The 22716-nt window shown below is 51.4% G+C and overlaps 1 protein-coding gene and 1 non-coding gene across 3 annotated transcripts in view, besides 1 other annotated feature; both read left to right on the plus strand.

Annotated features, from left to right (window-relative positions):
- CCNF (cyclin F) overlaps positions 1–22716 on the plus strand; it is a 29408-nt gene that overhangs the window by 1870 nt on the left and 4822 nt on the right. The window contains exons 3-15 of one of the 2 annotated variants that reach the window (NM_001761.3): positions 1645–1751; positions 4490–4557; positions 5813–6006; positions 6754–6807; positions 8037–8141; positions 8433–8510; positions 12333–12484; positions 14142–14306; positions 17539–17662; positions 17966–18146; positions 18512–18599; positions 21894–21993; positions 22094–22221. In NM_001761.3, coding sequence (NP_001752.2) covers positions 1645–1751; positions 4490–4557; positions 5813–6006; positions 6754–6807; positions 8037–8141; positions 8433–8510; positions 12333–12484; positions 14142–14306; positions 17539–17662; positions 17966–18146; positions 18512–18599; positions 21894–21993; positions 22094–22221 — 1544 coding nt within the window. The remainder of the gene's footprint in view (positions 1–1644; positions 1752–4489; positions 4558–5812; positions 6007–6753; positions 6808–8036; positions 8142–8432; positions 8511–12332; positions 12485–14141; positions 14307–17538; positions 17663–17965; positions 18147–18511; positions 18600–21893; positions 21994–22093; positions 22222–22716) is intronic. The other variant, NM_001323538.2, reaches the window with a different exon arrangement.
- Positions 8970–9059: a silencer, noted in NCBI's record as "silent region_7045". NCBI's record gives its function as "represses an Ori minimal core promoter by ATAC-STARR-seq in GM12878 lymphoblastoid cells {active_cell/tissue: GM12878}" and the evidence as "EXISTENCE:reporter gene assay evidence [ECO:0000049][PMID:35858748]".
- MIR6767 (microRNA 6767) lies at positions 14076–14141 on the plus strand. The gene has a single exon (NR_106825.1). It is a non-coding gene; the product is annotated as a microRNA 6767 (primary transcript).

The following is a 22716-nucleotide window of genomic DNA, read 5'->3' on the forward strand; positions in this document are numbered from 1 at the left end:
AGCATTGTTGATTATACCATCAGGCCTTGTGTTCTTAACTGTCAGAACAAAACTTTGGCTAAAAAAGAGGTTGGGGCAGAGGCCAGGCACGGTGGCTCATGCCTTAATCCTAGCACTTTGGGAGGCCGAAGGGGGGTGGATCACCTGAGGTCAGGAGTTCCAGACCAGCCTGGCCAACTTGGCAAAACCCCCATCTCTACTAAAAATACAAAAATTAGCCGGGCGTGGTGTCTCACGCCTGTAATCCCAGCTACTAGGGAGGCTGAGGCGGGAAAATTGCTTGAACCTGGGAGGCAGAGCTTGCAGTGAGCCGAGATCACATCATTGCACTCCAGCCTGGGCGACAGAGCGAGACTCTGTCTCAAAAAAAAAAAAAAAAAAAGGAGGGCAAAAAGGAAACAAGGATGATATCATTACCAGATGCTTTCTTTAAGACATTCTGATTACAGAAATTCCTACTGCTGTCTCCTAGCACACTAAAATTGCCTCTGTTCATTGCAGTGTCAACAAAGAAAGTACCTTTTTTTTTTTTGAGACAGAGTCTCGCTCTGCCACCCAGGCTGGAGTGCAGTAGCGCAATCTCGGCTCACTGCAAGTTCCGCCTCCCAGGTTCATGCCATTCTCCTACCTCAGCCTTCCGAGTAGCTGGGACTACAGGCACCCGCCACCACGCCCGGCTAATTTATTGTATTTTTAGTAGAGTTGGGGTTTCACTGTGTTAGCCAGGATGGTCTCTATCTCTTGACCTCGTGATCCGCCCGCCTCGGCCTCCCAAAGTGCTGGGATTACAGGCATGAGCCACTGCACCCGGCTGAAAGTACCCTTTTATGGCAGTGAAATTTGCATCCCTTAAAAAATAGGATAGTGTTTAAAAGAATAAGAATACATTCTTGAGGACAAATTCCATGTAACATTTAACACTGAAATGGACTCTAGGAGTTATTTTCTAGATATTGGAACCATAGGCTTACTTTGAGTGACTTAACCTAGAGTATATAGTGGATTCATGGGGAAATGCCAGCAAGAACCCATTTTCTGACTCCCAAAGCCACCTCCATTGCAGGTGCGACACACTTTATGGACCCCAGGGGGTGCTGAATTTCCAATGGCAGTGGAAACTTTGGTGCTTAAAGTGTTCACCTGTGCTCCAGGTCCTGGCCTGGACACTCCTGCGTTGGCCCAGCGCTTAGGCTCCGGGTTCTACCTGAGACCTCCATCATGGGTGTTGTTCTTTGCCCTGAGTCCCTGTGACCTGTTTCCACACTCCCACTAGCAAGGCCTCCAGCGGGGAAGCACAAAACACATTTCCGTCCTGCCTGCCCCCTTTTAGAGTGTTTCCCCTGTCTTTGGGGGTGATACCTTTGCAGGGATGTTGAACCCTCTTTCTCAGCCTAGGTGTTTGTTTCCTCCTTCCCAGATCATTGTCCTCTGCCCTGCTTTAGAACCTCAGAGAAACTCGTTTCTGGGCTCTTTTATCTGCTCAAAGTGACAGTTACTTTCACACAGAGATTGGGGACCTCAACTACTTGGGATGGCGAGGGAGACAGGAGACCCTACATCTGCCTCTCGTCCTCAAGAGCCTCCAGGTGTGGGGCTTTTGGGTGGTGCCTCCATCACCCAGCCCCGGCCCCCGTTGTTCTGCAGGTACACTCCCAGCTGAAGGACCTGGTGGACAACCACGCCAGTGTGTGGGCATGTGCCAGCTTCCAGGAGCTGTGGCCGTCTCCAGGGAACCTGAAGCTCTTTGAAAGGTATCTCTGCACCCTGAGAATGGCTCAGTCTTCTCCTGCCTTGGCCTCCCTATGTGCCAGTCTGTGTCTCACGGCCTGATTCAGCAACGATTTTCCTGTTGCTGTCTCCCATGACATTGCCTCATACCCTGGGGAGTGACTGAGGGTGGCAGACCTCACGCATCAGGCCGCACAAGCCACACACCTTCCAGCAGGCTATGCAGTCAGTCATCCCTCACGCCACTGACACGGGCCCGTGGTGCCTCCAGAGGGCTGTGATCCATTCCCACATGACCCAGACAAGAGTCACCTTCCTGTGGAAACTTCACTCAGCCTTCCTTCCCTTTGGTCAAAACCATCTGAATTCTATCCTATAGCGTTTCACTCACTGGCTGATCCCACCCCAACCTGCACCCCGCACCCTGGCCCCTGTTCACATGTGCTCATGGTCCCAGGTACCCGCCGCCCTCAGAACAAACCAAGGAACCACAGCTCAGGCGGGGATTTTTCTTTTTTGTTGTTGTTTTTTGTTTTTTGTTTTCGTTTTTGTTTTTTTCTTGAGACGGAGTCTCGCTCTGTCACCAGGCTGGAGTGCAGTGGTGCAATCTCAGCTCACTGCAACCACCAACTCCTGGTTCAAGCGATTCTCCTGCCTCAGCCTCCTGAGTAGCTAGGATTACAGGCACGCGCTACCACGCCCATCTAATTTTTGTATTCTTAGTAGAGATGGGGTTTCGCCATGTTGGCCAGGATGGTCTCGATCTCCTGACCTCCTGATCTCAGGCGGGCATTTTTCTGACAGGGATTCGCTGTGAGCCTCGTCCATCTGAGTTGCCAGAAATCCAGATCGACAGCCAACCAGGGCAGGCAGCCATGTTGCCGCGGCCATGCTTGGGCTGCTTCCAGGGGGAATGTATATATTTCTTATTGAGACATTATCCACACATCACACAATTCATCCATTTAAAGTGTATAACTCAGCCGGGTGTGGCGTCACACCTGTATTCCCAGCACTTTGGGAGGCCAAGGCGGGTGGATCACTTGAGGTCGGGAGTTCGAGACCAGCCCGGCCAACATGGCAAAACCCTGTCTCTATTAAAAATACAAAAATTAGCTGGATGCGGTGATGGGCACTTGTAGTCCCAGCTACTCTGGAGGCTGAAGCATGAGAATTGCTTAAACCCAGCAGGTGGAGGTTGCAGTGAGCCAAGATTGCGCCATTGCACTCCAGCCTGGGTGATGGGGTAAGACTGTCTCAAAAAAATAATAATAAAATAATAAAATATGGCTGGGCACAGTGGCTCACGCCTGTAATCCCAGCACTTTGGGAGACCAAGGCGGGCGGATCACGAGGTCAAGAGTTTGAGACCAGCCTGAGCAACATGGTGAAACCCTGTCTCTACTAAAAATACAAAAATTAGCTGGGTGGTGGCACATGCCTGTAATGCCAGCTATTCAGGAGGCTGAGGCAGGAGAATTGCTTGAACCCAGGAGGCAGAGGTTGCAGTGAGCCGAGATCGCACCACTGCACTCCAGCCTGAGCAACAGAGCGAGACTCCGTCTCAAAATAAATAAATAAGTAAATAAATAAATAAAATGTATAACTCATTGGTTTTTAGTATACTGAGAGTTGTACAGACATCACCAGTACTTAACTTTAGAACGTTCTCCTTACCCCAAGAAGAAAGCTTGTCCCCATCAGCAGTCACTTCCCATTTTCCCCACAATCCTGGAAACTCTAGACAACCCCTAATTGATTTTCTGTCTCTCCGGATTTGCCTTTTGTGAGGATTTCACATGGAATCATGCAACACGTGGTCTTTCGTGGCTGGCTTCTTTCACGGACCCTGATGTTTTCAAGGTTCATCTGTGTCATAGCATGTAATGGATAATTCGTATTTGATTACATGTTATTAAGAAATGTTCGACCGAGCGTGGTGGCTCACGCTTGTAATCCCAGCACTTTGGGAGGCCGAGGCGGGTGGATCATGAGATCAGATCGAGACCATCCTGGCTAACATGGTGAAACCCCGTCTCTACTAAAAATAGAAAAAATTAGACAGGCGTGGTGGCGGGCACCTGTGGTCCCAGCTACTCGGGAGGCTGAGGCAGGAGAATGGTGTGAACCTGGGAGGCGGAGCTTGTAGTGAGCCGAGATTGCGCCACTGCACTCCAGCCTGGGCAACAGAGCAGACTCCGTCTCAAAAAAAAAAAAGAAAAGAAAAGAAAAAAAAAAAGAAATGTTCTAGAGCCGGGCATGATGGCTCAAGCCTATAATCCCAGCACTTTATGAGGCCAAGGCAGGAGGATCACTTGGGTCTGGAATTCAAGACTAGCCTGGGCAACATAGCAAGACCCTGTCTCTAGAAAAGAAAATATTTTTTTTTGACTAGCTGAGCATGGTGGCACATGCCTGTAGTCCTAGCTACTTGGGATGCCGGGGTGGGAGAATGGCTTAAGCCCAGGAGGTTGAGGCTGCAGTGAGCTGTGATCGCACCACTGCACTCCAGCCTGGGCAACAGAGCAAGACCCTGTCTCAGAGAGAGAGAGATATATATATATATATGCACACACACACACACATATATATGCACACACATATATATATGCACACACACACATATATATATATATATATATATATATATATATATATATTCAATTCAGGGAACAAGTATTCTGACTTCTTCAAGTGCTGTAGTAGTTCATAACGTTTGTGGCATAAAATATTGTGATGCTTTATGTTCTTAATGTTTCAGGGCTGCTGAAAAGGGGAATTTCGAAGCTGCTGTGAAGCTGGGCATAGCCTACCTCTACAATGAAGGCCGTAAGTCCTCACCCCACCTGCATGTTGGCGCTTCAGATAAGTGTGAGCCTTTGGCCCTATGAAGAAGTGGTCCCCGTGTTAGCAGTTCAGTTGCTGTCCTTGCTCTATCCGATGGCCTGCCTCCCCATTCCCTCTCAGGAGCTCGTGCCCAGATGTACCCTGCTGAGGGACCTGCTAATGATACTCTGACTTTGCAGGTTACGAAAGTCGCCTCTTGTTTTAGCAAACCCTTTAATTTCAGTTGGCAAAGAGTGACTGAGCCAGAGCCTCAGCACGGGGGCTGTTTGGGCTCCCTGCCCTGTGCGCCATGAGCACGCAGACCTGCCTGTGGATGCTGGCCCTCTCCTTGGCCATCCTCTTAGAACTCTCGAGACAGAGTTCAGCGTGCCCTGTAACACAGAGCCAGGCTTCTAAACGGGAAGCAGGTACAGGCAGGTTAGAACTGGCCTGGTGCCTGGATCCCTTCATCCCCAGAGGCCAGGTGCTCCTTGAAAGAAACTTGCGCAGCCTTTTCTTCTACCAGTTAACTGCTTATCTGCTCAGCACCCCAAGGAACGAGCCCATGATCTGTCCCAGCTCTCAAAACAAGTAAACACTGGGATGTAGCCTCCCACATTTGTACTTCTAAACGATCTGGTGTCTTGCTGGGAGAGAGTCCCTACCTGGCCGGCTGGCAGAATTGTGACTGACAGGGACCATGAGCAACACCCTCCTCCAGAATCAGGGGAGCCGAGGTCCTACCCCTACCCTCCCATCAAAGAGCAGTTCCCAGACATAAAATTCACACACCATACAGTTCACCCCTCTAAAGCCTGCAATTCTGTGGTTTTTTAGGATATTCACAGGGTTGTGCAGCCATTGCCACTGTCTAATTTTAGAATATTCTCCTCGTCCCAAAAAGAACCCCCACCCCTGCCCTGGACCCATTACCAGGGGTCAGGCGGTGGTTCCCAGCTGGAGGGAGGGTGGGACATGAAGCGTCGCGGGGTCTCCTTCCCCTGACCTTCAGAATCCAGGCTTCCGGGAGGACCACAGCAGGGGCATTGATCACAATGACCCACCTGTTCTAGACATTAATGAAGTAGGGGGAGAAAAGACAGGTGCCCCCATCCTGGAGGGCTCTACTCTCCTGAAACACAGCTGCTTTGCACTATGGTGGGCTTCAGGCATTACACTTTCCACCAAGACCATGGAGAGCTTTCCACATTCCGTCCCTAAGAGACATCCCTGGGCTCTGTCCTGTCTGTCCCCGCAGTGTCTGTGTCTGATGAGGCCCGCGCAGAAGTGAATGGCCTGAAGGCCTCTCGCTTCTTCAGTCTCGCTGAGCGGCTGAATGTGGGTGCCGCACCTTTCATCTGGCTCTTCATCCGCCCTCCGTGGTCGGTGAGCGGAAGCTGCTGCAAGGCCGTGGTTCACGAGAGCCTCAGGGCAGAGTGCCAGCTGCAGAGGGTGAGTCTGGGCGAGGGGCAGCACCTGCGAGGCCACCTGCAGGGTCCCAGGACACAGGAAGACCCCGAGGGTAGATCCTGGACCCTGGAAAGTCAGGAGCCTAAGGGAAGTGAAGATGCAGAAAACTGAGAGTGCAGATATGGGGAACGCATCTGGAAATCAGCTGGCACAGAGGAGGAAGCCTGAGAGCCAGGGTGGGCTGTGGAGTTCTGGGTACACGTGCTGACAGCTGGAAACATGGGGCTGAGGCTGCATGGGGCAGTGGGAGCTCAAGACACAAATCTGGCCAGGTGTGGTGGCTCACGCCTGTCATCCTAGCACTTTGGGAGGCCGAGGCTGGAGAATTGCTTGTGGCCAGGTGTTCGAGACCAGTCTGGGCAACATGATGAAATCTCGAAACCTCGTCTCTACAAAAAATACAAAAAAGTTAGCCAGGGGTGGTGGTGCATACCTATAGTCCCAGCTACTCAGGAGGCTGCGGTGGGAGGATCGCTTGAGCCTGGGAGGTTGAGCTTGCAATGAGCCGTGACTATGCCAATGCACTCCAGCCTGGGTGACAGAGCAAGACCCTGTTTCCCTTTAAAAAAAAAAAAAAAAAAAGACTGAAATCTGGGAGTGGCCCTCTGCAGGGGAGGGAGGGCCAGACAGCAGGGCCATGGGCATGGGACCCAAAGACAGACAAGGGAGTGGTGGCCCCCGGGCAGTTCTCTGTGCTGGAAATCACACTTCTTTCTCCTTTTTTTAAAGACTCACAAAGCATCCATATTGCACTGCTTGGGCAGAGTGCTGAGTCTGTTCGAGGTGAGTCAAGTTGTTCTCTGCACTGGGACTTTGTGTTCGATACATCCCTAGCCGAGATCCTGGAACTGAAAAGCAGCAGAAGGGGGTGTCCAAGGCCCAAAACAAAAGGCAAGCCTTGCCCAGAAAGGCCTAGCTGGAGAAGCCAGGGGACACATGTGGGCCTGGCCACGGGCTCCGATCCTGGCTCCATGACCCGCCTGGCAGGGGAGTGGGGGACGGTGAGAACAGCAGAGCAGATCTCAAGGAGGCATCGAACCTCGATGCTCACTCGTCTGCTGGCCCTGCTCCTCGTGGGCCTCTCCTGCTCGTGTGGACCTCTCTGCCTGGCCAAAATGGTGAAACCACGTCTTTACTAAAAAACACAAAAATTAGCTGGGCGTGGTGGCGGGTGCCCATAATCCCAGCTACTCAGGAGGCTGAGGCAGGGAGAATTGCTTGAACCTGGGAAGCGGAGGTTGCAGTGAGCCGAGATTGCACCACTGCACTCCAGCCTGGCAACAGAGTGAGACTCAGTCTCAGAAAAAAAAAAAAAAAGTATGGAAAAGGAGGAAGATGGTGAGTAGAGTGATTGAACATCAAGTAAAGAATAAGGGCCGGTCATGGTGGCTCATTCCTGTAATCCCAGCACCTTGGGAGGCCGAGGCGGGTGGATCACCTGAGGTCAGGAGTTTGAGACCAACCTGGCCAATGTGTTGAAACCACGTCTTTACTAAAAAACACAAAAATTAGCCGGGCATGGTGGTGGGCACCTGTAATCCTAGCTACTTGGGAGGCTGAGGCATGAGAGTTGCTTGAACCCGGGAAGCTGAGGTTTTAGTTAGCCAAGATCGTGCCACTATACTTTGGCCTGGGTGACAGAGGGAGACTCTGCCTCAACAACAACAAAAAAACCAGCCAGGCACAGTGGCTCATGCCTGTAATCCCAGCACTTTGGGAGACTGAGGTGGGTGGATCACCTGAGGCCAGGATTTTGAGACCAGCCTGGCCAACATGGTGAAACCCCGTCTCTACTAAAAATACAAAAATTAGCCGGGCATGATGGTGGGCTCCTGTAATCCCAGCTACTCAGGAGGCTGAGGCAGGAGAATTGGTTGAACCCAGGAGGCGGAGGTTGCAGTGAGCCAGGATGGCGCCATTGCACTCCAACCTGGGCGACGAGTGAAACTGTCTCAAAAAATAAAAATGAAAAAGAATAAGGGAACAATGAACTCTGCTGGGATTTATTCTAGGATGAGGAGAAGCAGCAGCAGGCCCATGACCTGTTTGAGGAGGCTGCTCATCAGGGATGTCTGACCAGCTCCTACCTCCTCTGGGAAAGCGACAGGAGGACAGATGTGAGTGGTGCCTGCTCTGGGTCGGGGGGAGTTATGCTGGACAAAGGCGTAGTTGATGCTGGTCCTTGGATGCGTTTCTGTCCACAAAAGGGAGGTGGCTCTTGCTGCTCCCGGTCTCTCAGCCTCCGGGAACCACTGGTCAGTCGGCTATTCTTGGTACCCCCAAAAATGACTCCACCATTTGAGAGAGAAGAGGTGGGAAGTTAGCGTAGTGTCGGCCCTTCTGGGTCTTGGTTCTGAGTTCCTCCCAAGACACAGTTGTACAAAGGCTCGGTGATCTCCCATTGACAGGTGTCAGATCCTGGGCGATGCCTCCACAGCTTCCGAAAACTCAGGGACTACGCTGCCAAAGGCTGCTGGGAAGCGCAGGTGAGGTGCGGGGCTGGGATGACGTGGGGAGCTGGCCTTTCTCCCTCCAGCCTTGGGGCAGGACTATCTGGGCTCCCACATTGGGGGGCAGGACTATCTGGGCTCCCACATGGGAGGCCAGGATTGAGGGACACCCTAAGATCGGTTCAGCACTGGAACTGGTCCTAAAGGACAGGTACACTGTGAGAAGAGCTGGGAAATGCGTTATTCATCTCTGCCTATCCACTCTTGCCTCTCAGCCAGCCAACCTCTTAATTTTCAAATGCTTGTGAGCTATAGCTGCTGTCAAAATTTGTGCCATTCTTGAAAGTTGTCCCATAGGTAGAACTGATCTTGACAACAAAACTTGAGGCTACTTGAGAGCAGAGGGGCGTGGAGAGTCCCTTCCTGCTTCCTCTTCCTGTTAGCGCCTTGCTTGTCATGTCACCTGGTCACCAAGTCATCCAGGGCTACAGGCAGGAAATCAAGCATTGGTAGACTCTCCCCTCACAGCTATAAATAAGTTGTTAGGGCCAGGTGCGGTGGCTCACGCCTGAAATCCCAGCACTCTGGGAGGCCAAGGTGGGCGGATGACCTGAGGTCAGGAGTTCGAGACCAGCCTGGCCAACATGGTGAAACCATCGCTACTAAAAATACAAAAATTAGCTGGGCGTGGTGGCAGGCACCTGATACTCAGGAAGTTGAGGCAGGAGAATCGCTTGAACCCGGGAGGCAGAGGTTGCAGTACCACTACACTCCAGCCTGGGCGACAGAGCAAGACTCTGTCTGAAGGAAAAAAAAAGTTGTCAGGACGAATCAAAGAAAGCTCCTATTTGCCAAATGGATAGAAGCTTGTTCTTGTCACCCCACCAAGTGGGTGGCAGAGTGATCTGCGCTCAAATGCTAGGGACAAAATTACAAATTGATAATGGCCCAGCCCGAGGTGTCATAGCACATTGTGGTGTTCACGTCCAAAAAGCCAGTCTACAGATTTACAAGAAGGCCAGACGTGATGGCTCACGCCTGCAATCCCAGCGCTGTAGGAGGTTGAGTTGGGAGGATCGCTTGAGCCCAGGAGTTCAAGACCAGCTCTGGCAACATAGTGAGACTCCATCTCGACAAAAAATTTTAAAATTAGCTGGATGGGCTGGGTGCAAGTGGCTCATGCCTGTAATGCCAGCACTTTGGGAGGCTGAGGCGGGCGGATCACGAGGTCAAGAGGTCGAGACCACCCTGGCCAATGTGGTGAAACCCCGTCTTTACTAAAAATACAAAAAAATTAGCTGGGCCTGGTGGCATGTGCCTAGAGTCCCAGCTACGCGGGAGGCTGAGGCAGGAGAATTGCTTGAACCCAGGAGGAGGAAGTTGCAGTGAGCCGAGATTGTGCCACTGCACTCCAGCCTGGCAACAGAGCGATACTCCATCTCAAAAAAAAAAAAAATTAGCTGGATGTGGTGGCGTGTGCCTTGTAGTGCAGCTACTCAGGAGGCTGAGGCAGGAGGATCACTTGAGCCTGCGAGGTCAAAGCTGCAGAGAGCCGTGATCGCAACATTGCACTTCAGCCTGGGCTACAGAGGGAGACCCTATCTCAACAAAAACATTGTTTACAAGAAATGCAACAACGTAGTTCTCGTGGAAGTTCAAGGGGCCTCAGTCAATTCTCACAAAAGAGGAAATAGGGCCGGGCGCAGTGGCTCACATTTATAATCCCAACACTTTGGGAGGCTGAGGCGGGAGGATCACTTGAAGCCAGGAGTTCTCTCTGTTGCCCAGGCTAGAGCACAGTGGTGCGATCTCAGCTCACTGCAACCTCTGACGCCTGGGTTCAAGCCTTCTGAGTAGCTGGGACTATAGGTGCCTGCCACCACGCCCAGCTAATTTTTGTATTTTTAGTAGAGGTGGGGTTTCACCATGTTGGCCAGGCTGGTCTAAAACTCCTGACCTCAAGTAATCTGCCCTCCTCGGCCTCCCAAAGTGTTGGGATTACAGGAGTGAGCCACTGCACCTGGCCAAAAAAAATTAATAATAAATAAATAAACTCAAGTGGTTAGAAATTGGAATGTTCAACCTTACTACTAGTCATAAGAGTGCACTTTTAAATGAGATATTTTGGGCTCATGATATTAGCAAATTATATATATATATATATATATATATATATATATATATATATATATGTTTTTGTTTTTGTTTTGTTTTGTTTTGTTTTGTTTTGTTTTTGATGGAGTCTTGCTCTGTTGCCCAGGCTGGAGCGCAGTGGCACAATCTCGGCTCACCACAAGCTCCGCCTCCTGGGTTCATGCCATTCTCCTGCCTCAGCCTCCCAAGTAGCTGGGACTACAGGCATTGCACCACCACGCCCAGCTAAATTTTTTGTATTTTTAGTAGAGACAGGGTTTCACCATGTTAGCCAGGATGGTCTGGATCTCCTGACTTCGTGATCTGCCCGCCTCGGCCTCCTAAAGTGCTGGGATTACAGGCTTGAGCCACCGCACCCAGCCCTTAATTATATATATATAATATCCATAATTAGATATATTTATAATATCTATTATTATATTATAACATAATTATATTTAGTCTGCCAGCTATTTATAATATATAATATTATATAATATAATATTATTATATATAATATATAATATTATATAATATAATATTATTATATATAATATATAATATTATATAATATAATATTATTATATATAATATATAATATTATATAATATAATATTATTATATATAATATATAATATTATATAATATAATATTATTATATATAATATATAATATTATATAATATAATATTATATATAATATATAATATTATATAATATAATATTATTATATATAATATATAATATTATATATAATATCATATTATTATATAATAATTATATATAAATATGTATTTATATATTGTATAACATATAATTATATAATAATTATAATAATATAATATATATCATATATAATATTATATATTATATTCTATAATATATAATATATTCTATAATATATGTAATATTATATTCTATTATATATAATATATATTATATTATATATATTATATTATAATTATATATTATATATTATATAATATATAAATATATATTAATATATATGATTATTATATATTATTATATTATATATTTTTATATATTTATATATTATATATTATTTATGTTAATTATATATTATATAATTATATTATATGTTCTATAATATATAATATAATATTATGTTATAATATCTATAATATATATTATAGATATATTATATATAATAGATATTTTTATATATAATATATTACATATTATATATTATATGTTTTATATTGTATATAATATATATTATATATAATATATATATAATATATAATATATATATATTTCTCTGTTTTTGGGTGGCTAGCTGGTAACTTCTGAAAATAGCTGTTTTTAATAATCACAGTGTTTGCTGGGATGAAGCTGTGATGAGGCAGGTGCTCCTATTCCTGGGTGTAAACATTGGCAGAAGCCTTTCGGAGAGCACTGGGGCGTATGGCCAGAGACTTAACACAGCTTCCCCAGGCATTAGCCATGTAAGAAACTGAGACCTGAGCCACGGTGGAAAGGCCACTGACATTTCATTATATATCTTTTCTCATGTCATCTATTACTTATACAAAAAGGAATAATAATTAAAACCTGAGCCATCCTTGTTCCCGAAGCTTGTGAAGGTTTAAGTTAAGTAGGGCAGTGTGTCCACATGCATTTGGTGCCTGAATGGGCCTTTGCTTCAGAAATGGAAAACTGCAACATGGCTGCTGTCTCACGCTCATGTTTGTCTTTTCTTCCTCAGCTGTCTTTAGCCAAAGCCTGTGCAAATGCAAACCAGCTTGGACTGGAGGTGAGAGCTTCCAGTGAGATCGTCTGCCAGCTATTTCAGGCTTCCCAGGCTGTCAGTAAACAACAAGTCTTCTCCGTGCAGAAGGGACTCAATGACACAATGAGGTGAGGCATTCAGGCCGGGGCTTCTAATCAGAGCGGCGCGGAAGCCAGCCTCCAGGGGAAGGGAGCCCTTTCCACTTAACCCCAGTTACCTGTGACAGGGCGGCATAGAGTTCCCTTATCACCCTTTTTTTTTTTTTGAAGTGGAGTCTCGCTCTGTCGCCCAGGCTGGAGTGCAGTGGCGCGATCTCAGCTCACTGCAAGCTCCGCCTCCTGGGTTCGAGCAATTCTCCTGCCTCAGCCTCCCGAGTAGCTGGGACTACAGGCACCCACCACCATGCCCGGCTAATTTTTTGTATTTTTAGTAGAGATGGGGTTTCACCATGTTAGCCAGGATGGTCTCAATCTCCTGACCTCGTGATCCGCCCGCTTTGGCCTCCCAAAGTGCTGGGATTACAGGCGTGAGCCACCGCGCCCAGCCTTGGGTGTTTTTTAAAACCAGTAATGCCAAAGTTATCGTGGACTTTTTGGAAGAAAATATCCTACTCTGCTTTCTTCAGTTACTTTTTTTTTTTTTTTTGAGACGGAGTCTTGCTCTGTCACCCAGGCTGGAGTGCAGTGGCGTGATCTCGGCTCACTGCAAGCTCCACCTCCCGGGTTCACACCATTCTCCTGCCTCAGCCTCCTCAGGAGCTGGGACTACAGGTGCCTGCCACCACGCCCAGCTAATTTTTTTGTATTTTTAGTAGAGATGGGGTTTCATCGTATTAGCCAGGATGGTCTCAATCTCCTGACCTCGTGATCCGCCTGCCTCCGCCTCCCAAAGTGCTGGGATTACAGGCGTGAGCCACCACGCCCAGCCACCTTTTTTTTTTTTGAGACAGGGTCTGGCTCTGTCACCCAGGCCAGAGTGCAGTGGCATGATTTCAGCTCACTGCAGCCTCCGCCTCCCAAGCTCAAGAGATCCTCCCACCTTACCCTCCTGAGTAGCTGGGACTACAGATGCACACCACCATGCACAGCTAATTGTTGTATTTTTAGTAGAGACAGGGTATCACTATGTTGCCCAGGCTAGTCTTGAACTCCTGGGCTCAAGCGAACCTCCTGCCCCAGCCTCCCACAGTGCAGTGATCTTTTTTAAGCCACAGAACACATTGAACATCTTTTTTTTTTTTTTGAGGCAGGCTGTCTGTCACCCAGGGTGGAGTGCAGTGGTGTGTTCTCGGCTTGCTGTAACCTCTGCCTCGGGCTCAAGCCTTTCTCCTGCCTCAGTCCCCCAAGTAGGACTACAAGTGTCTCCACTCTATTCAGAAAGGCATTTACCATATTGGGGCATCATTTACCGTATTGGGGCATTCCCTTGCGACTGTCCACCTTCTCCCGCTCCCTGCACGCCCCGAGGGTCAGGGTTCATCCACTGTGGGCAGACCAACGGCTGTGGGCTGACTTTTCACTTTGCGTCAGGTCGAGGTCTCAAAGCGCTTGTGTTTGGGAGCACCAGGAACACAGTCGAAGGATGTGGGGCCTGCTTTGGGGCTGGGACCCACGGAGCCTCCCGGGCTTCCTGTGACATGGCCTCTCCAGCCTTGGTTCCAGGGTAAACCCATGATTCCAGAGCTAGCCAGCTTATTTGGTCGGGCCCAACAGGTGGGGTTGAAATCGCAGACAGGGACACATGGAGAACGCCCCCACCAGTTCCCACGTGCTTCTCTTTCCGCAGGTACATTCTGATCGACTGGCTGGTGGAAGTTGCCACCATGAAGGACTTCACAAGCCTGTGCCTGCACCTGACCGTGGAGTGTGTGGACCGGTACCTGCGGAGGAGGCTGGTGCCGCGGTACAGGCTCCAGCTGCTGGGCATCGCCTGCATGGTCATCTGCACCCGGTGAGAAGCCCCCTTGGCCCAGCTGGCAGGGACGTGCTGGCCTTTCCCGGGTTCAGGGTCACCTGCCCTTCATGTGCTCCTCACTGGTTTGGTTTTGTTTTGTGTTGTTTTTTTTTTTTTCCCGAGACCAAGTCTCGCTCTGTCACCCAGGCTGGAGTGCAGTGGTGCGATCTTGGCTCACCGCAACCTCTGCCTCCCAGGTTCAAGTGATTCTTCTGCCTCAGCCTCCAGAGTAGCTGGGACTGCAGGCGTGCGCCACCATGCCCGACTAATTTTTTTGTATTTTTAGTAGAGACGGGGTTTCATCATGTTGGTCAGGCTGGTCTCAAACTCTTGATTTCAAATGATCCGCCCGCCTCAACCTCCCAAAATGCTGGGATTACAGGCACAAGCCACTGCGCCTGGCCCTCACTGGTTCTTGACTCATGAGCCACGAGTGTCCCACCTGGTCAGACATGGAGTGCCACGCTGAGGGCCTTTTGCAGGCAGGGGTGGCAGAACAGCCTTCAGCGTGTGGGGGCCGCTGTGTGGGGTGCCTGCATCCAGGCAATTCATCCTGGCATGCAGTCTCAGGACCCAAAGTGTGGCCTCGCTCTGGCAGGCACAGGCTGGACTGCCCTGTCCCCTGGCTCCTGAGGGCAGCAGGATGACTGATCAGGGAGGGTGGCAGTTGGCTGCCCTTCTCTGAAGTTGGGTTCTAAAGTCTGTTGCCAGAGTTTCCTACACTCTTGGAGTTAGAGAGTTTTTCGTCCCCCACTGGTGCCCTGCAGAGCCCACTCCAGCCACGTGGGTGTCTCTCAGCAGCAGCGTGCGTCCTTACACGGCAGCCTGTCCTTTTCAAATCAGACCACTGCTTTCCTTTAACTAATGCTGGATCCCCTAGTTCCGCCTTTGGAAATAACGTGGAAATGATTCTCACAATACGATTTGCATTTCCTAAACCAGCTGTCCCCAGCATGGTCTACATTTCCCGAGGAAGTGCTTTCCAGACCGACTCCTCTGTAGAGCCTGGTGGGTGAGGATAGGCTTGGCTGCACACAGCATATGTGTAAGCTACAGAGACTTGTTTCTTTCTTGCACAGGTAACCCAGAGGCAGAGGTTCCAGGCTCAGGTCATTGGCATGTTTTTTGTTTCATGAGGAAGCAGAGGAGCCCCATCTCCCATCTTAATCTCTGCCACCAACTAGGGTGCTGCCCTTGTCCCTGTGACACCTGTACCTGCCACATTCACCTTTGCACTGAGCTTAGTCTTGTGACCACATCTCACCAGACGGGAACTGGGAGGTGTAGTCTCTTCGGGCCTGTGTGTGCCAGCTCGATGCAGTGTCATTCCCATGGAAGGAGGGAGCAAACCCTGCCACAAGCATCCAGAGCTGTCTTCAGATGCGCTCTTGGGCCTGAATCCAGCGTCCCAGGTCTTCCGACCAGAGACGACTGAGGAGGTCGGGCGGCCGCCTCCCTGGATCTGACTGCACATCCATCACTGCAACCTACGACAAAGCTCCTGGGCCACAACCGGCTGGCAGTGAGAGAATAACTGCTAAAAACGTTTCAGGGAGCTGAGTCCAATTTCTTCCCCAACCACAAGACCTGATTGCAGTGGTCCATATAACTATCACCACAGCTCCCTCAAATCAACTCTGCCTTATTATCTTTTTTTTTTTTTTTTTTAAATCCGGGGACCAGGCACGGTGGCTCACGCCTGTAATCCCAGCACTTTGGGAGGCTGATGTGGGCGGATCGTGAGGTCAGGAGTTCAAGACCAGCCTGGCCAACATGGTGAAACCCTGTCTCTACTAAAGATACAAAAAATTAGCTGGGCGTGGTGGTGCATGCCTGTAATCCCAGCTACTCAGGAGGCTGAGGCAGGAGAATTGCTTGAACCCGAGAGGCAGAGGTTGCAGTGAGCCAAGATTACACCATTGCACTGCAGCCTGGGCAATGGCGCAAGACTCTGTCTCAAAAAAATACAAACAAAATTAGCCAGACGTGGTAGTGGGCGCCTGTAGTCCCATCTACTTGGGAGGCTGAGGCATGAGAATCACTTGAACCTGGGAGGCGGAGGTTGCAGTGAGCTGAGATAGCGCCACTGCACTAATCCAGCCTGGGTGACAGAGGGAAACTCTGTCTCAAAAAAAAAAAGATTTTAAAGGCTGAGCTGCCCCCCACCTCTGCTCTCAGAGGTGCCCTGCCCCCACCAGCCATCTCACACCCCACGCTGGGCTCTCATTGGCCACTGACATCTTGTCTTTTTGGCGTCTGCAGCCCCCACGCTGGCAGGTGTAGTCCCTGCGCCTCTTGTCCTCTTGGTCAAGTGAATGACGCATGCAACCTGCAGAGTCCCCAGGACAGAGCAGCCAAGGGACTTGGCCTCAGTCCAAGGGGAAGGTGCCTTGCGGGGGGCCGCTGGAGCAGCGTGTTCCCTGATAGTTGGCGCTGGTTGACAACAGAGAACAGGGTGACCATCGCCTAGAGACAGTCAGGATTCCTGCGGCCACACAGTGCCGGGCACAGACTTTCCAACAACCCTTGGGCCCTTTGCCTCCAATTCCTAGATCTGGTGACTCACCCACCTTCTGGGTCTATAACATTTCTACCCCACTGATAGAGCTGTCACGTGACAGGCAAATCTCTGTCCTTGGTGTCTTTTAGCAAACTGAATGCTCAGGGCACTTGGGCCTTTTGCAGACATTTGTGAGTCTGCCTAACAGCCTTGCTGCTTTCTGTCTGCCTTGTGGCTCTCATCCCTCTTTCCAGCACTTTCTGACCTCCCCTTTGTTATTATTATGATGATTATTTTTTGAGACAGTGTCTTGCTCTGTCACCCAGGTTGGAATGCAGTGGTGTAATCAAAGCTCACTGCAGCCTCAACTTCCTGGGCTTAAGCAATCCTCCCACCTTAGCGTCCCAAGTAACTGAGACTATAGGCACGTGCCACCATGCTCTGCTAATTTTTTATTTTTTAACTTTTTGAAGAGATAGGGTCTTGCTTTGTTGCCCAGGGTGGTCTCGAACTCCTGGCTGAGCTGTCCTCCTGCCTGGGCCTCCCCTTTTTTAAATGCCCCTTGTCAGCCACAGGCAGCTGGCTCCATTATGAAGCCTCTGTTTGTCACCAAAGCCCAACGCCATGGCTCCCTCCCTACCTTGAGGCCTCCTAAAGCCTTGGGTCCCTCCGCCCCACCCCTGCCCCAGGAAGTGGGCTCCACCCTGAGACCCCTTCTCGGCGTTGCAGGTTTATCAGTAAAGAGATCCTGACCATCCGGGAGGCCGTATGGCTCACGGACAACACTTACAAGTACGAGGACCTGGTGAGAATGATGGGCGAGATCGTCTCCGCCTTGGAAGGGAAGATTCGAGTAAGCAGCGGTTCCATTTTCCTTATTAATCTTCGTTGTCGCTGTGCTGGAGGGTGGGGGTGGGCATTCAGCTTTCCTGCTGTGGGAGGGCCTCATGGACTCAGAGAGCAGCTGTCTCTGCTGTGCCCAAAGCCATGGAGCAGGAGGCCACGGTTGCACCACGTCGCCATCTGCGCTGGTGCGCTACGCGTGCAGCATCGGCGTGAACATCATCCGGGCCAGACCCTGCGCTGGGCCTGCATGCGGCACTGCACCAAGGAGCCCCCGAGCGCTGAGAGCCCACACCCCGTCCCGGCTGTCTAGGTCCCCACTGTGGTGGATTACAAGGAGGTCCTGCTGACGCTAGTCCCTGTGGAGCTGAGAACCCAGCACCTGTGCAGCTTCCTCTGCGAGCTCTCCCTGCTGCACACCAGCCTGTCCGCCTACGCCCCAGCCCGCCTGGCTGCCGCAGCCCTGCTCCTGGCCAGACTGACGCACGGGCAGAGTAAGGAGTGGCCCTTCCCAGGGATGCCTGTGTCGGGGAAGGTGCTGACATAGGAGGAGGCTGTGGGGAGGAAAAGAGTCCAGCATCCATTTGTCCTGGTTACTTCTTGGGGGGTGAGATACAGCACGGCTCCTACCTTCAGTGATGTCCCAGATTTCTGACCATGAGCCTGCACGCCCTATGTATGGGTTTTTTTCAAAACTATTTTAAAAGGATTGCAACCCTGAGCTCCAAGAAACTCCACAGCAGAGCCCACAGAGCTATAGAGCGGGAGTGTTCAGGCGGCTGTCACCACAGCCCCTCCGTCCCCTCCATCCCCTCCGTCCCCTCCATCCCCTCCACCCCTGGCCTGCTTTCCTCCCCAGCACAGCCCTGGACCACTCAGCTGTGGGACCTCACCGGATTCTCCTATGAAGACCTCATTCCCTGCGTCTTGAGCCTCCATAAGAAGTGGTGAGTTTTGGCCGGGCGCAGAGGCTCATGCCTGTAACCCCAGCACTTTGGGAGGCCGAGGCGGGCAGATCATTTGAGGTCAGGAGTTTGAGACCAGCCTGGCCAACATGGTGAAACCCCACCTCTACTAAAAATACAAAAATTAGCCAGGCGTGGTGGTGCACGCCTATAATTCCAGCTACTCAGGAGGCTGAGGCAGGAGAATCGCTTGAACCCAGGAAGCAGAGGTTGCAGTGAGTTGATATCACGTCACTGGACTCCAGCCTGGGTGACAGAGCAAGACTCTGTCTCTAAAAACAACTGGCCAGGCATGGTGGCTCACACCTGTAATCCCAGCACTTTGGGAGGCCAAAGCGGGCGGATCACCGAGGTCAGGAGTTCAAGACCAACCTGGTCAACGTGGCAAAACCCTGTCTCTACTAAAAAAAAAAAAAAAAAAAAAAAAATTAGCTGGGCGTGGTGGCATGCGCCTGCAATCCCAGCTACTCAGGAGGCTGAGACAGGAGAATCACTTGAACCCGGGAGGCAGAGGTTGCGGTGAGCCGAGATTGCGCCATTGCACTCCAGCCCAGGCAACGAGTGAAACTCCATCTCAAAAAAAAAAAAAAAAGTTCCAGTAGTTTCTTATCTCACACATTTTTCACATTGAGAGCAGCTGCTCCCAACCCAAGCTCATTGCACAGGCAGCAGAACATACTAGAAAAAATGAGGGCATCTCCCTGACCCGTGGTAACTTGTGCGTGTTGTCAAGTTGTCATCTAGCTCAGGCACTGGCACACCGTGGCCCTCAGGCGGCATCTGGCTGCTTTTGCGAATGGGGTTTTCTTGGCAGCAGCCACCCTCACTGGTTTCCACATTGTCTGCTGCTGCTTTTGCTCTGGCGGTGGCTGAGCTCATAGTGCAGCGGACACCACGTGGCCCCCAGTCAGGAAAATACTCCCCTTCCCTTGAGAGAACAGCTTCTGCCCTGATGCAGCTGCTGGGATAGAGCTATCCTCTGTCTCACTGAGAAGATGGAGACTGCGGGTGGGTCCCTTGCGCCGTCGTGCCCGGATGTGACCCCCTGTCTGCCCCAGCCCCACTGGGCTTCCCTCCACCTGCCCCGGCCCCTCCGCCCTTCTCTCTGGTGAGCCTGGCCCGGCCCTCGCCACATCTAAGCCCCTTCACTCGCCCTGGCAGCTTCCCTTCAGCCCACGTTGGTTTGTTCCATGCAGTTCATGAAGTCCCTACCGTGGTCCAGGCGCTGGGGGAGAGGGCAGGACAGAGAGTTCAGAGGTCAGGTCGTGACGAGAGAAACAGCAGGCAGGCGCGCGGGGCAGGTGGCGCGGGCGGGGGCGACTCCCTTCAGGGAGCGTAGCCGGGGTCACCTGGGCATCTGAGTCCAGGGCAAAGGGGGCAGCCATGCCAGGGCCCAGTGCAGACCAGTGGGGCTGGGGGCCATGAGTGGAGTCATGGCAGTGAGGGGTGAGGGGGACAAGCACGGGGCTGAATTTGTACCCGGCCAGCCATCTCCGTCTCCCCTCCTCAGCTGTGCTCACAGACTTGCTCCTCCCACCTCTCGGCACCCCCACTCCCTGGTCTCCCACTTCCCCGCTTCTGCCATGGCTTCCTTTTCCTCAGCCAAATCCAGCAGACTCAGCGGTGTGGGCTTTTTTTTCCTTTTTTGAGTTGGGGGCCCAGGCTGGAGTGCAGTGGCACCATCCTAGCTCACTGCAGCCCTGACCTCCCGGGCTCAAGGGATTCTTTTGTGTCAGCCTCCCGAGTAGCAGAAACCACAGGCACCAGCACAGCAGGCCTGGGTGCTTTTCTCCAGCCAGCATTACGCTGACCCTCCCTCCCTCGGGGGCTTCGGCTTCCTGCCCTAGGCCATGCGGCCTAGGTGTTGGTCTCCCTTCCCACCCACCCCAAGGGGCCCCGGAATTCTGGCTTTCTGCCACTCCTCAGACTCCTTCCTGGGAGACTTCACCACTTCCAGAATTCAGGCCACATCTCAACCTTGACCTGCCACCCCCCTGCCAGCGTGACTCAGCCAACGGCCTGTTGCCTGTTCTGGCCCTGGTGGGTCGTGGTGCATGAAGCCCTGTGTGCCCAGCTGAGGCCTCCACCAGCCGCTGCTGCTTCTCCATCCCTGCATCCTCGTCAGTGCAGTTTCCTCGTGCGCTCACAGCTTGGGGACTGGAGCTATCCGTGGCGGCTGCCCGGCCTCCTGGAACACTGTGGCAGCCGCCCCGCACATGTCCCGTGTACGTCACCCAGGGCCTCGCTGTCCGGCTTCCAGGATGAGATCAGAACTCCCTGGGGGTCTCGATGCCCTTGAGCAGCCCCTTCTGTGGCCCATCTGCTTTTTCTCCCACCATGCTGTGCTCCAGCCACAGGGGACCTGGTGGCATCTCCCGGGCTTTGGCATGTGCTGCTGCTCATGCTGCTTTCTCCTGCAGTGCCCGGACCCTGTGCCTTCTGGGCAAGGAACGAGGCTGACAGTAGAAGGGTTCGCATGGGTCTCGTCCCACCCACCTTTGCTTATGGGGAGCACAGATCGTCCCAACCCTGGCCACCAAAAGCTGTTTCTGGGCTGCGTTTATTCTCTTCCTCCTGAAGAAGTTAATTTTTTTTCCAAACAAGATAAATTAGAAACGTTATTTAGAAACTACACTTCCTTTGATTGTGTGATTTAACGGGCTTTTATTCACACAGTTGTGCTTGTCATCACAACAATCAAATTGATGACATTTTCACTTTCCCCAAAGGGACAACACACCCCTCAGCTGTCACCCTCCCGTTCCCCCCAACTTCCTCAGCGCTAGATGACCCCCAGTAGTCTACTTTCTGTCCATGGATGTTTCCCATTCTGTACATTCCATATAAATGGCGTCATCGGACAAGTGGCCTTCTGTGTCTAGGTGATTTCCCTCGCGGTAACGTTTGCTGGGTTTGTCCATGTGGTGTGTGTCCCTGCTTTGTTCTTTTTCATGGCTGAATAATATTCCCCTGCATGGACCACATGTGTTTATCCATCCCGCAGCTGGTGGACATTTTGCCTATTGTGAACAGTCCTGCCATGAACATTCTAGTACAGGTTTCTGTGTGGACATAGTTTTTCCTTTTTCCTGGGTCTTTACCTAGAGAGGAATTGCTAGGTCCTGTGGTGACTGAGTTTAACCATTCGGGGAACTGCCAGGTCAGATTCCAGAGTGACTGCACCATTTTGCATTCTCATTGCTCACTTCAGTGAACTGAAGCTAAAAATGGGGTGGGGGTGCCTCACATGTCCACTCCACGTGACTCTGTTTCCAGCTTCCATGATGACGCCCCCAAGGACTACAGGCAAGTCTCTCTGACCGCCGTGAAGCAGCGGTTTGAGGACAAGCGCTATGGAGAAATCAGCCAGGAAGAGGTGCCTCCCTCCCGCCACCTGGGCGTCTCATGGGGTGCTGGGGTGTGGGCGGGCCTCACCCTCGGGGCCTCTGCACCCCCTAACTCTAGCTTCCCCTCAGGTGCTGAGCTACAGCCAGTTGTGTGCTGCATTAGGAGTGACACAAGACAGCCCCGACCCCCCGACTTTCCTCAGCACAGGGGAGATCCACGCCTTCCTCAGCTCTCCCTCGGGGCGGAGAACCAAACGGTTAGTTACCCTGCGTTCTGGCTGCGCCATACAATGCTGGCATCCTCGTGCCGGCCCAGTTCCCTCAGCGCTTCCTCACACAGAGAGGCCCCCAAGGCTTGTCAGGGGAGCAGCAGATCCCAGGACAGTGACCCTGGGACGGAGCCCTGCAGTCATGCCTCGGGCCCCTGCGTAACCTCCACTGTCTCCAGCCCAGGTCTCCTTCCTCAGAGGCTATTGCCTCTCGCTCTGACTGGGCTCCCTGTGGAGGAAGATGGTTTCGAGCACGCGGGAGCCTAGCCTGGCTCTAGCCCTGCCCGTGCCTGTCATGCGCGTCCTGGACTTCTCTGCTCCATGATGCTGCTGTCACTCCCGGCACTCGAGCTGTGACCTGAGTCACATCCCCAGCACTTCCCTCGCCACCCGTGTGGACCTGTTTACCCGCCTCTCCTATCTCAGCACCTTGGCTGTTCCTCCTGGAGTTAACTTCCTCTTTCTACCTCACCCGCCTGGAGA

The sequence above is a fragment of the Homo sapiens genome, chromosome 16 (genome assembly GCF_000001405.40).
Source record: "Homo sapiens chromosome 16, GRCh38.p14 Primary Assembly".
Classification (NCBI taxonomy): domain Eukaryota; kingdom Metazoa; phylum Chordata; class Mammalia; order Primates; family Hominidae; genus Homo; species Homo sapiens.